Raw genomic sequence first — 13434 nt, 5'->3', positions numbered from 1 at the left:
TTTTTTCTGTTGAAAGCCAATTCTGAAATTTATATGAATGAGTAAAATACCAAGAATTCTCAAGACAGGATGGAAGAAGAAAAGAATGGGGAGGCTCTTTCCAGATACCGAAATTTATTATAAACCTGTGGTTAACAATGTTGTCTAGCATTGTCAAAGGGTTAGACAAATTGACAGAATAGAGAACCAGGAAAGACCCCCATGCACATGACAACTCAACTCACAACAGAGCTATCATGGATCAGTGACTAAAGAATGGCCTATTAGGCCGGGTGTGGTGGCTCATGCCTGTAATCCCAGCACTTTGGGAGGCCGAGGTGGGTGGATCACCTGAGGTCAGGAGTTCAAGACCAGCCTGACCAACACAGTGAAACCCCATCCCTACTAAAAAACCCAAAAATTAGACAGATGTGGTGGCGCACGCCAGTAGTCCCAGCTACTGGAGAGGCTGAGGCAGAGGAATCGCTTGAACCTGGGAGGTGGAGGTTGCAGTGAGCTGAGATCGCACCACCGCACTCCAGCCTGGGTGACAGAACAAGAATCTGTCTCAAAAAAAAAAAAAAAAAATTAGCCAGGTGTGGTGGCATGTACCTGTAATCTCAGCTACTAGGGAGGCTGAGGCAGGATAATTGCTTGAACCTGGGAGGTGGAGGTTGCAGTGAGCCAAGATCATGCCATTGCACTCCAGCCTGGGTGACAGAGCAAGACTCCATCTCAAAAAAAAAAAAAAAAAAAAAGAATGGCCTATTAAATAAATGGTGCCAAGACTCTTGGTTATCCATATGGGAAAAGCAGAATAAAATAAAGTTTCTTCCCACCTCACGCCATACACAAAAGCCATTTCCAGGCAGACTAGAGACTTCAGTGTAAAAAGTAATATTATAACATTTTTTGAAAATAATATGAGAATAATTTTACAACCTTATAGTGGAGAATTTCTTAGATAACACATAACAAGTATAAATCATAAAGCGACAGGTGGATAAACTTATTTGAAACTAAGAAATTCAGTCATTAATAAAAACCACAGGAATATAAGGAGACAAGGCACCAACAAATGAAAAATATTTGTTATATATATAAATGACAAAAAGTAGTACCCAGAATATGTATTGAATTATGGCAAATCAATAGGATAAAAGACAGGTAACCCGATGAGAAATGGCCAAAAAATGTGAACAGGAAAAGGGACCCCAAATGGCCAATAAACATATGAAAAAGATGTCCAACCTTAGTAATTTGGTCAATGCAAATTAAAAACATGCTAAGATAGCTTTTCATTTCTACCAGATTGGCAGAAATACAGTACCAGACAATATCAAATGCTGATGAAGAAGTGGAGCAACAGAAACTTTGGTGCATTGCTGAGGGGTGGGTAAAATGAGGCAAAAACTTTGGAAAACAACGTGGTGACATCCAGTAAGGCTGACGATATGTACAACCTATGACCCACCAATTCTATTTCTAGAGTATATACCCAAGATAAATTCTTGCACACATGCCCCAAGATGCATGTACAAAAATAGTTCTAGCGGCACTGCTTATAATAGAAAAAAAAATAAACTCTTGAAATACCTAAAATGCCATCAACAGCATCTCAGATAAATATATTGAGGTACACTCATCTAATAGAATACTGTACTGCAGAAAACTTTAATTATCTACAGGTACATGCAACAATATGAAGAAATTTCAGAAACAAACTTTTGAACCAATTAGGCAAATTTTAAAAGAATATTTAATTCCATGTTTACAGAGTTCAACAACTTGCAATCATACATATATAGCGATTTAAATATGGGATGTAAAATTAGAAAAAGAAGCAAGGGAACAATAAACCCAAAATTCTGGACTGTTGCTGCTTCTGAAGAGGGAAGGTGAAAGATGGGCATGAAGAGGACCTCAGAGATGATGCTGATCTTTAAAAAAATCTAAGGTGTCAGCACACAGGGTTTATGCTGTTTTTATTACTTCTATCTTATTATGGTCTTTCTAAATTTTCTTTTCTTTCCTTCTTTTTTTTTTTTTTTTTTGGAGATGGAGTTTCATCGTGTTGTCCAGACTGGTCTTGAACTCCTGACCTCAGGTGATCTGCCCCTCTCAGCCTCCCAAAGTGCTGAGATTACAGGCGTGAACCACTGCGCCTGGCCGAAATTTTCTTTTCTTTCAACACAGAAAATCTTTCCAAGTTCATGAAAGAATAGCCCATGTGCTCAGGATGGACAGACAGGAAGGGCCTCCCTGACCTGACCCTGTTCCCTACCTCTCTGGCCAGAACCCCAGGCATGCCCCTTACCCGGCTCTGCCACACCAACCTCCACGAGGTCTCCTCCTCCAGACCCTTATCAAGAACACTTCTCAGAAACCCACAGGACTCGGCCTCCCTCACAGGTCCCCTCTCAGAAGACTAGAGCCATCCCCACCCTCCCAAGACCCCCACCCTACCTGCTATTCTCCCACCTGCTGAGCACCGTAGACCCCTGTCCGCTTTGACCAGAGCCTGGCAGGGCGTGGTTTCTCAATACCTATTTGTTAAATAACTAAATGAATGACTATACATAAACTCATATTAAAATTAGTGTGCTCCATGGAAAGGGTAATGCATAGAGCCCTTAGTTATCAAACCAGCCCCCCCACACTTTAGATGAGTTGGGACAAAGGATCGGTTTAGTGTTCTAGAAGTTTCATTTCAGGGGAAAAGAAGAATCAGTCCTTACTGAGCAGGTGGCCCTGCTTAGGCAGAAAATGCAGGCGTTTCAATGGTTTGCTGTAATAATTCAGATGAGGGAAGTGAGCCCAGGGAGGCACCTACTTACCAGAACCCAGTGGAGTAATGACAGGGCCGGGATAGACCAGCTCCCTCTGAGGCCCGTTGGAAATGGCCCTCCAACTCTGCACTCCTCAGAGGCCTATGAGGGAGCTTGGAGGGCGAGCCTCACTGTCCTGTCGGCCTGCTCTCTCCGCCCCCTCGACAACCAGGAAAGCCCGTGTCAGCCCTTCCCAGGGTTCCCTTCATAGCAGGACCCCGAGAAAGGACTTGACCTACCGTCAGAGGTCGAGGAGTGCTGCTGGAGCCCAGCCTGACTCCCAAACTTCAGCAGTGACACACACTCAGGCAGACCCAGGCCCTGGAGTGGCCCTGACCACATGGGCCCCCCACGCCACACACACTTCCTGCTCCCCAGCTCACCTCCTCTCCCACATTCACAAACCCAAACCAGGCACTGGGTCACATGTGCCCCATAGTCAGCCTCCCAGGAGGCAGCCAGTAGGCCCCACGCTGACAGGCGGCGCCCATATGCCCACCTCTAGGCTGGCCTGGCTGGGCCAAGAGCAAGGTGGCCTACCTGGAGGGGTGGCCGTCAGCGCCTGTAGACATCAGAAGGCATGGGCCCCCTATCCCCAGCTGCAGCCCCTCAGGCTCGGGGGAAGAGGACCCGGCCCCACATCGTCAGTCCTCAGCGCCGTTTCACTCTGAATCACTGGAGCTGGGTCTCTGCTCATTTCCTGGAGAAAGCAGAAGTGGAGAGCCGGCAGATGCCTGACTCTGCCCACTCTCCAGCCGACCACGGAGCTGCTGGAGTTCTGGCGGGTGACTTGGGTTCTGCAGCAAGGCCCCTTGGGGCTGGCTGTGCAGCCTCCGTGGTCAAGCGGTGCTGGTTGGGGCCAAGGACAAAATGGAAAGTACAGCCCAGCCCTAGAAGAGTAGGTCTGGATTCTGTGTCCCCTCTTCACTAGCCGTGTGACCACTGGTGCACACCTCTCCTCTCTGGGCCTCTGGCAAAATGAGAACAATGATGGTGTTAGGTGAATCTAATCAGAGGTGTGTTTAAGTGCACCCCTGGACATGGCATGGGTTGGGCAGCCCTCACCCCACCAAGCTCAGAGTTGCCCACTTGGATTTCTTCCTCCCCCATCCTCAGATAGAACTTGAACCACCAATGAGGGGAGTCCTCCTGCGGCCAACACTGAGGCAAGGATGAGAGGACATCTAAAACCATAGAATGGAAGTCTCTGAAACTCAGACTCCAAATTCTCATTCCTCTGAGTATATAAACTAGGCTGAATTATCCATGTCACCTATCCATAACGTCATCTCCACAGTACAAACAAGCATGTCCATTCACACACAATCCTGCTTGTGCTCTGTAAAAGGAGAATTTTGCCAAAGAGCAAGGGCACTTGTTAGCGCTAATGCCTGATCCTTGATCCTCAGTGCAGCTCATCGCTTGTCTCTAGCTCACAAAACCAGTGGACCATGCATGACTGACTGAGAGGCAGCAACAACATCACTTGTTATGACATGGAGTAAAGCTCCAAGATTGGTTTAAAGAGGAAAATAACATTTGTCACAAAACCTCAACCTCCACCAGTGCAAACTTGTCAGTAGACAGCAGCCAAAATAGGAGATCTATCCAGCTGCACTCCAGTCTGGACAGCAAGAGCGAAGCTCCGTCTCAAAAAAAAAAAAAAGAAAAAAAAGAAAAGAAAAGAGAAATTGAAAGGATACATGCAGTGCCAGCCAAGGGAAAGAGAAAACCTTAGAGAATTTGCAGTGAAGTGTTTGTTGTATATGATGAAAACCCCTCGTCATTGTCACCAATGAAATCATAAATAAAATCTACAAGAAGATATTGCCTGAAATCAGAGGCCTATGGTAAGAGCGGATTAGACAGAGGAACTTCCACAGAGGCAGGAAGGGTGGCCAGCATGGGACAGGCCAGGACCCCATGCCTGTGAATGCCCAGAGGAAGCGCGGAGAGTCTGTCATAGTGGGATCTCGCAAAGTCTGCTGGAGGGCCCACCTGCACCCAGGTCTCCTACCTTCTACCCACCCCAGCACCTTGCCGGGTAGCCAGCAGCAGGCAGGTAAAGAGCACTAAATTCAGAGCTAGAAACTCAAGGTTGAAATTCTCACTATCTTAACTGAGATAATTGACATCTTATTTGCAGAATGAATGAATGCCTTGTTAGAAGGAACAAATCAAATAATATTTGCAAGAGAGGTTTTTTTTTTTTGAGACGGAGTCTCGCTGTCGCCCAGGCTGGAGTGCAGTGACGCGATCTCGGCTCACTGCAGGCTCCGCCCCCCGGGGTTCACGCCATTCTCCTGCCTCAGCCTCCTGAGTAGCTGGGACTACAGGCGCCCACCACCTCGCCTGGCTAATTTTTTGTATTTTTAGTAGAGACGGGGTTTCACCGTGTTAGACAGGATGGTCTCGATCTCCCGACCTCGTGATCCGCCCATCTCGGCCTCCCAGAGTGCTGGGATTACAGGCGTAAGCCAGCGCACCCGGCCAAGAGAGTTTTTAAATACTGAAAAGGGCTGTGCAAATGCAAGCTATTATTAGTGAGAGAGTTGCCAAAGCTAAGACACTGAAGCAGCCAGGGCAACTATGAACTGCTAATGTAAATGTGTATTTTTGTTAAAGGGCAATGTAAGATTCTCTGATTTTTAAACAATTGCCCCAAAATGGCAGTTTTACTTCTGCACCCAGTTATGGTGGTGTAACTGGTATAGGACATACCCTCCCATTGAAAGCAACTATAGAATAGTTCAAATACACAAGATAATTGTTTTCAGGCATTGAATAGCAAGACTGTGATCCTTGAGATAAGGAAAACACACAAGGTGAGCCCCACAATTGCCCTGGAGTTTTTTCTAGTGATGCTTTTTCTGCTATGATGCAGGCAGGTGGGGCCCCAGAGACAGTAGTCTCCCTGAACTGAAAAGGTTTAAGTCAGAGTTCAAAGCTGCTGAAGGCTCTGGTATGTTCAGGGCAGGTTCCTGAGGAGAGTGTGCCTTGTGGGAACTCATTGTGTGTGCCCTTGGCCAAGGATTCCTATGTGTGCACAGGGTGAGACTCCAAGAGACCCAGCAGAGGTCAACTGACCCAAGGCCGAGCACTGAAGGAGGTAACAGAGAATGTGCAGTGCTTGGAATGTTGCAGTCGCATCCCATGGAGTGTGGAGAGACCTTGCTGAGCATTGTGGGACTTCACTTTACACCTCAGAGCCCTCACCCCACCAAGCTCAGAGCTGCCCTCTTGTATTCCTTCCTCCCCAATCCGCAGACCAAACTTGAAACACCAATCAGAGGAGTCCTCCTGCAGGCTAAACATGAAGGTAATGATGAGAGGAAATTTAAAACCATAAAACTCTGAAGCTCAGACTCCACACTGAAGAAGTAAGAACCACAGCCTAGAATAAAAGCCATAAAGTTGGAACAAGTTCAAAATTGAAATAAAATAGCTCCATGTGATAAGTTACTTTTATGAGTTAACTTGACTGGGCCATGAGGTGCCCAAACATTTGGCGAGACATTATTCTGGGCATGTCTGTGAGGGTATTTTTGGATGAGATGAACATTCGAATCAGTAGGCTGAGTCAAGCAGACTGTTCTCCCTAATATGCATGGGTGGTTTCCAATCGGTTGAAGACCTGAATAGAACAGAAGGCTGAGTAAGAGGACACTTTGGCTGCTTGACTCCTTGAGATGGAACATCAGTCATCTCCTGCCCTTGGACTGGAACACTTACAACACTGGCTCTTCTGATTCTCAGGCCTTTGAACTCAGACTGGACCTTACACCATTGGCTCTTCTGGGTCTCCAGTTTGTTGACTGAAGATCTTAAGACTTCTCATCCTCTATAATCATATGAGCCAATTCCTTGTAATACATAAAGAAATAAACAAACAAGAGCAGGCATGTATATATATAGATATATACACACATATACATATATATATATATATATATATATGTATATCCAATTGGTTCTGTCTCTCTGGAGGACCCTAATACAACCAAACAAAGAATAAAAGAAGCAAGACTGACAGAATTAAAAGGATATTCCAGTAATTTTTTTTGAGACGGTCTGGCTCTGTCCTCCAGGCTGGAGGGCAGTGGGGTGATCTCGGCTCACTGCAACCTCCACCTCCTGGCTTCAAGCAATTCTCATGCCTCAGCCTCCCAAGTAGCTGGGATTATAAACACGTGCCACCATGCCCAGCTGATTTTTTGTGCTTTTAATAGAGACACTGTTTCACCGTGTTGGCCAGGCTGGTCTCAAACTAATGAGCTCAAGCGATCCCATCACCTCAGCCTCCCAAAGTGCTGAGATTACAGGTGTGAGCCACTGCAGCCAAGGAATTTAACTGCCAACCAGAACAAAACTCAAGATGCTTTAAAGGAAGAAAACTTAATGCAGCCTCCTTTCAATTTAACATCCATGCTATCTAGCATAGAGTTAAAATTAGTAGAAATCTGAAAAAGCAAAAGAATGTAACCCATAACAAGAAATAAAAAACTGTCAATAGAAATAGACCCCAAGATGAACCAGATGTTGGAATTATTTCACAGGAACTTTAAAGCAGCTATCAGAAATATATTCAGGAACTTAAAAAAAAAGCAGGCAAATTTCAGCAAAAAAAAAAAAAATCGAAAATACAAGAAGATTCAAATGTAAATTCTAGAACTGAAAAGTATATCTGAAGTAAAAATTTTACTGATAGACCAACAGCAAATTGGTGGCCACAGGAAAAAAAGGGTTAATGAACTTAAAGACTTATTAATAAAAATTATACAATTTGAAGGACAGAGGGGGAAAATATTGATGAAAAAAAACAAACTCAGCTGCTCTTGGGACAATATGAAATGGTATAATATATGTGTAAATGGGGTCTCAGAGAGAGAGGAGGGCAGAAAAGCACATTTGCAGAAATGATGTTTGAAATTTCCCAGGTTTATTGAAAAACGGCAAATTGCAGACATGATAAATTTAGTAAAACTCAAGCATCACCAAGTGCAAAGAAAAAACACACTTAGCACATCATAGTCAAACATCAGAAACAAATGTATTATCTTAAAACAGTCAGAGAGCAAGAAAGCAGTCAGAAAGAAAAAAATATTACCCAAAGAGAAACAAAAATACTATTTAAGGCTGATGTTTTATCAGAAGCAGTGAATGCCATAAGAGAATAGAAAGACATCTTTAATATGCTAAAGGAAAACAACAAAAATTGTTAACCAATAATTCAATAGCCAATGAATGTCTCTGTAAAAATGAGAATAAAATACATTCATTTCAGGTGAATAAAAGCTGAGATCATTCATCTCCAGCATCCTTGCAATATAAGAAATTCTAAAGGCAGTTTTTGAAGCTGAAGGGAAAAGATGCCAGATGGAAACTTGGATCTATAGGAAAAAAAGAAAAGCACTATTAATAGCAAATGTGTGAGTAAATAAAAACAAACCATGTACTTTTCATTATTTTAACTTCTTTAAAAGACTATGACTGCTTAAAGTGAAAATTGCAGTGCTGTACTTTGGAGTTGATAGCATACGTGGATAGAATGTATTTCACAACTACAGCACCAAAGACTGAGAAATCAATGGAAGCATATTGTTGCAATCTCACATTTTACACAAAAATAGTATTTTATTTACTCTAAGTAAATTGTCATAAGGATATGTAATTTCTTCATGGCTTTGTGACAAAGATGTCAGAAAAGTAAAAGTTTAGTTCCAATCAACAAACACACACAGAGCATCTCCTCTGTGCCAGGTCCCAGGTAGGCCCTGAAGAAACAATGATGAACAGAGCAGAGCTGCTATGGAGTTTACTTCCTTGCTGCAGAGCAGTCTACACCAGTTGTTCAAGTTGGCAGGTGGTTCTCCCCCATATAGCAATTTAGGAATATTGCTCCATTGTCCCATATAGCCTTGTCGTCTGCATCCAGCCTGTAAAAAAGGAAAGGGAGTGGACAAGACAAGACATACCTCTGCCCATAAAGGCCCAGCCTCTGAGTGGTCTACATCGCTTTGGCTCACATGCTATTGTAACCACATGGCCATATCGAGCTGCAAGGAAGACTGGGAAGTGTAGACCAGCCATGGGCCAGCCTCGATCCTGTTATTAGAGAGAATGCATTTTGGTAGGCTGTCGGTCTCCACTATGATCTCTTCAGAGCACTTACCATCACTTATCAGGGCCATATACTAAAAAGTTAATACTTTTAAAAATAAATATTTTTCTGACTTTTAAAATGAAGCATGTTAATTCTAAATAGTATGTAAAAATAAAAAGAAGAAGGAATAAAATAAAACTCACTAATACCCTATGCTGAGCAATAGCATTTCAGTCTTTTTTTCCATGTTTACCAAAGTATATTTCTTTGGTCTTATTTTTTGTTCTTAACAAATGGGAATCATGCCATATATTCCCCTTCATAATTGGTTGGGTTTTTCTTTCACTTAATTCATTGCAAGCACTTCCCTACTTCATTATTACAATGTATTTTCTATACCATCTTGGGAGAAAAAAAGAAAACTATTTACACAGCAACAGGACATGTTTAACAAACCTGGAGAGAAAGCAGCTTCCTGTGTGCTGGTTGCATTTCCATATTCCCCAAGGGGATAGTAATTAACTCCAGAAAAAGAGAGAGGATCCCACCATCAGATTGTACTTTCAGGGAGATGTGAGTACTGGTGCAAATGGAAGATAAACCCACAGGACACCTGGAGCCTGCAGAAGAAATGATCAATACCACTGTTGACATCCCATGAGACTTGGAGGAAGGAGGGAGGATTGGAAAACTACAAATGAGCGAATTCTGTCATAATTTTCAAAGCTGGCCTGAAGATCCAACTCCATATTGGTAGAGTTAACATAAAACTCAAAAGGAGCCCACTGAGAAGATGAAGAACCATGAGCCATCACCAGGTGAACACAGGCCATTCAACCCATTTCAGTTGGCACTAGGATTTTCCAGGACCAAGTCCTAAGGTGTGTTTTGGAGGCACAAATAATAAATAAGAATGCTTTCCCCAAGGAGCTTTCAAGCTAAGAACAAGTCCTTGAGGCTAAGCACATTTATCTTTGGTGTGTGAGATCAAGAGTGCTGGCATCACTTTGGGTATGAGCTCCAATAAGGTGCTGGATAAGGCCTCTCATGATTTATGTATCCATGTATTCCTCTACCATCTCCACACTACCATATGCCTGGTGCTATACAAGATGCCTAGTGTGGCGAGTTCCAGTCTGTCTTTGGGGAAGTTCATAGACACCACACACACCATACAGGTCTCAGCCACCATGCACAGACTCACACCTGTCATGCCAAAATGGTTTAATTTTGGGGAAGTAAGAATAAAGAGTTGAAACTTCAGTTTAACTCTGAGTGCTTTATTTCTTCACATCAGTGATGCAGCTTTGCCAGAAATGAGGTTCTATCTACAGAGTCTCCACTTTGAGGAAGGTCCTGTGGGACCAGAGGGAGGATGTCAGTGAGCAGCAGGCTTGGAAAGGGAAGGGGAATGGCAGTATGGAAGGTGAGGGAATGTTTTGAAAAGAGATTCATGGGAAACAAAAGCCTTTCCAACAAGTGTGGCTGAAACGACATGGTTATCCATAATGAAAACAAATCAAGTCACTTTTGTTCAGAATCAATTGACCATAAATGCATGGTTTTATTTCTGCATTATCTGTACTGTTCCATTGGTCGATGTGTTTTTTTGGCAGTACCATGCTGTTCTGATTACTATAGCTTTGTAATATATTTTGAAACCAGATGGTGATGCCTCCAGCCTTGTTCTGTTCTTTTAGCTCAAGATTTGGTGTATTTTCTGGCTCCATATGAATTTTAGAAATTTTTTCCATTTCTATCAAGAATGACTTTAGAATTTTGGTAGGGATTACATTATTTCTTAGACACAAATGTTAAAAACTAAAGTTACCATGCTCCTAGGAGAAAACATAGGACAATATCTGTGCAATTTGAGAGGAGACAAAGTTTTTCTTGGACAGGTTACAGAAAGCAATAACCATAAAAGAAAAGACTGATAAATTAGACTTCATCTAAATTTAAAACTTCTTCTAATAAAAGACACTGTTAGTAAATGAAAGGCAAGTCATGGACAGGGAGAAAATATTACTGACCAAGGAAGTATCCAGAGTACATAAACAACTCTAACAAATCAATAATCAAAAGATGAACAGCCCAATAAAAGCTGAAAAAAAGACCTGAAGAGACACTTTATCTCATATATATATATCCATATGCATATCATATATATGTCTATATATCATATATACATATATATCATATATAGATATGTCTATATATCATATATATACTCATATGTCATATATACGATATATATACTTATATGTCATATATACGATATATATACTTATATGTCATATATACGATATATATATTTATATGTCATATATACGATATATATACTTATATGTCATATCGAGCTGCAAGGAAGACTGGGAAGTGTAGACCAGCCATGGGCCAGCCTCGATCCTGTTATTGATATATATGATACATATATCATATATACGTATCTCATATATATGATATATATGATATATATGTATATATGATATATATGTATATATGATATATATGTATATATATCATATGTATATGGATAAGCTTATGTATCATATATACTTATATATCATATATATCATATATACTTATATATCATATATATCATATATACTTATATATCATATATATCATATATACTTATATATCATCTATATCATATGTATCATATATATTATATATACTTATATAGATGATATATATACTTATATAGATGATATATACACTTATATATCGTATAAATGATATATACACTTATATATCGTATAGGTGATATATACACACTTATATATCGTCTAGATGATATATACACACTTATATATCGTCTAGATGATATATACACTTACATATCATCTAGATGATTATATATACACTTATATATCATCTATGATATATATACTTATATATCATCGATGATATATTTACTTATATATCATCGATGATATATATATACTTATATATCATCGATGATATATATATACTTATATATCATCGATGATATATATATACTTATATATCATCGATGATATATATATACTTATATATCATCGATGATATATATATACTTATATATCATCGATGATATATATATACTTATATATCATCGATGATATATATATACTTATATATCATCGATGATATATATATACTTATACTTATATATCATCGATGATATATATATACTTATATATCATCAATGATATATATATACTTATATATCATCGATGATATATATATACTTATATATCATCGATGATATATATATACTTATATATCATCTAGATGATATATATATACTTATATATATTCTTATATATATATCATCTAGATGATACATACACTTATATATCATATACATGATACATACACTTATATATCATATACATGATACATACACTTATATATCATATACATGATACATACACTTATATATCATATACATGATACATACACTTATATATCATATACATGATACATACACTTATATATCATATACATGATACATACACTTATATATCATATACATGATACATACACTTATATATCATATACATGATGCATACACTTATATATCATATATATGATGCATACACTTATATATCATATATATGATGCATACACTTATATATCATATATATGAGATATATACACCTATATATCATATATGAGATATATACACTTATATATCATATATATGAGATATATACACTTATATATCATATATATGAGATATGTACACCTATATATCATATATATGAGATATGTACACCTATATATCATATATATGAGATATATACGCCTATATATCATATATATGAGATATGTACACCTATATATCATATATATGAGATATGTACACCTATATATCGTATATGAGATATAGACACCTATATATCATATATATGAGATATAGACACTTATATATCATACATATGAGATATAGACACCTATATATCATATATGAGATATAGACACCTATATATCATATATATGAATATAGACACCTGTATATCATATATATGAGATATATACACCTATATATCATATATATGAGATATATACACTTATATATCATATGTATGGTATATATACACTTATATATCATATGTATGGTATATATACACTTATATATCATATGTATGGCATATATACACTTATATATCATATGTATGGCATATACACACTTATATATCATATGTATGGTATATACACACTTATATATCATATGTATGGTATATATACACTTATATATCATATGTATGGTATATTTCTCCAAATGGCTAAAAAGCACATGAAAATGTGCTCAACATTATTAATTAATAAGGAAGTGCAAACTAAAACCACACTGAGATACCTCAGCACATTCGTTTAGATGGCTAAAATTTTAAAGACTGTCAACATTAAATGTTGCAACTGGAGCAACTAGAATGCTCCTACATTGCTTACAGGAATGTATAATGATGCAACCATTTTCATAAACAATTTAACAGTTTCTTATAAAGTAAAATATATACTTATCATGTGACC

At 39.1% G+C, this 13434-nt stretch overlaps 1 protein-coding gene across 12 annotated transcripts in view, besides 5 other annotated features; it reads right to left on the bottom strand.

Annotated features, from left to right (window-relative positions):
• The window catches only part of WDFY4 (WDFY family member 4), a 298084-nt gene extending 294608 nt beyond the window's left edge, over positions 1-3476 (bottom strand). For 6 of the 12 annotated variants that reach the window (XM_017016463.2, XM_011539986.4, XM_011539987.3 and 3 more), the window contains exon 1: positions 3047-3135. The gene's annotated coding sequence lies outside the window, so the exon portion shown is untranslated. Of the gene's footprint in view, positions 1-2816; positions 2887-3046; positions 3136-3347 lie in introns of those variants that run through there. The other 6 variants (XM_011539988.3, NM_001394531.1, NM_001370153.1 and 3 more) reach the window with 2 other exon arrangements.
• Positions 2686-3226: an enhancer, noted in NCBI's record as "H3K4me1 hESC enhancer chr10:49893168-49893708 (GRCh37/hg19 assembly coordinates)". NCBI's record gives its function as "activates a minimal SCP1, AML or CMV promoter by ChIP-STARR-seq in primed H9 embryonic stem cells {active_cell/tissue: H9 hESC(primed)}" and the evidence as "EXISTENCE:reporter gene assay evidence [ECO:0000049][PMID:30033119]".
• Positions 3245-3544: an enhancer, noted in NCBI's record as "active region_3338". NCBI's record gives its function as "activates an Ori minimal core promoter by ATAC-STARR-seq in GM12878 lymphoblastoid cells {active_cell/tissue: GM12878}" and the evidence as "EXISTENCE:reporter gene assay evidence [ECO:0000049][PMID:35858748]".
• Positions 4205-4254: a silencer, noted in NCBI's record as "silent region_2360". NCBI's record gives its function as "represses an Ori minimal core promoter by ATAC-STARR-seq in GM12878 lymphoblastoid cells {active_cell/tissue: GM12878}" and the evidence as "EXISTENCE:reporter gene assay evidence [ECO:0000049][PMID:35858748]".
• Positions 4475-4554: an enhancer, noted in NCBI's record as "active region_3337". NCBI's record gives its function as "activates an Ori minimal core promoter by ATAC-STARR-seq in GM12878 lymphoblastoid cells {active_cell/tissue: GM12878}" and the evidence as "EXISTENCE:reporter gene assay evidence [ECO:0000049][PMID:35858748]".
• Positions 8405-8669: a silencer, noted in NCBI's record as "fragment chr10:49887725-49887989 (GRCh37/hg19 assembly coordinates)". NCBI's record gives its function as "represses an EF-1alpha promoter that drives an FKBP-Casp9 reporter gene in an ReSE screen in phorbol 12-myristate 13-acetate-treated (for megakaryocytic differentiation) K562 erythroleukemia cells {active_cell/tissue: K562(+PMA)}" and the evidence as "EXISTENCE:reporter gene assay evidence [ECO:0000049][PMID:32094911]".

This window comes from Homo sapiens, chromosome 10 (genome assembly GCF_000001405.40).
Source record: "Homo sapiens chromosome 10, GRCh38.p14 Primary Assembly".
Taxonomy (NCBI): Eukaryota; Metazoa; Chordata; class Mammalia; order Primates; family Hominidae; genus Homo; species Homo sapiens.
This window is presented reverse-complemented; position numbering and strand designations above follow the sequence as displayed.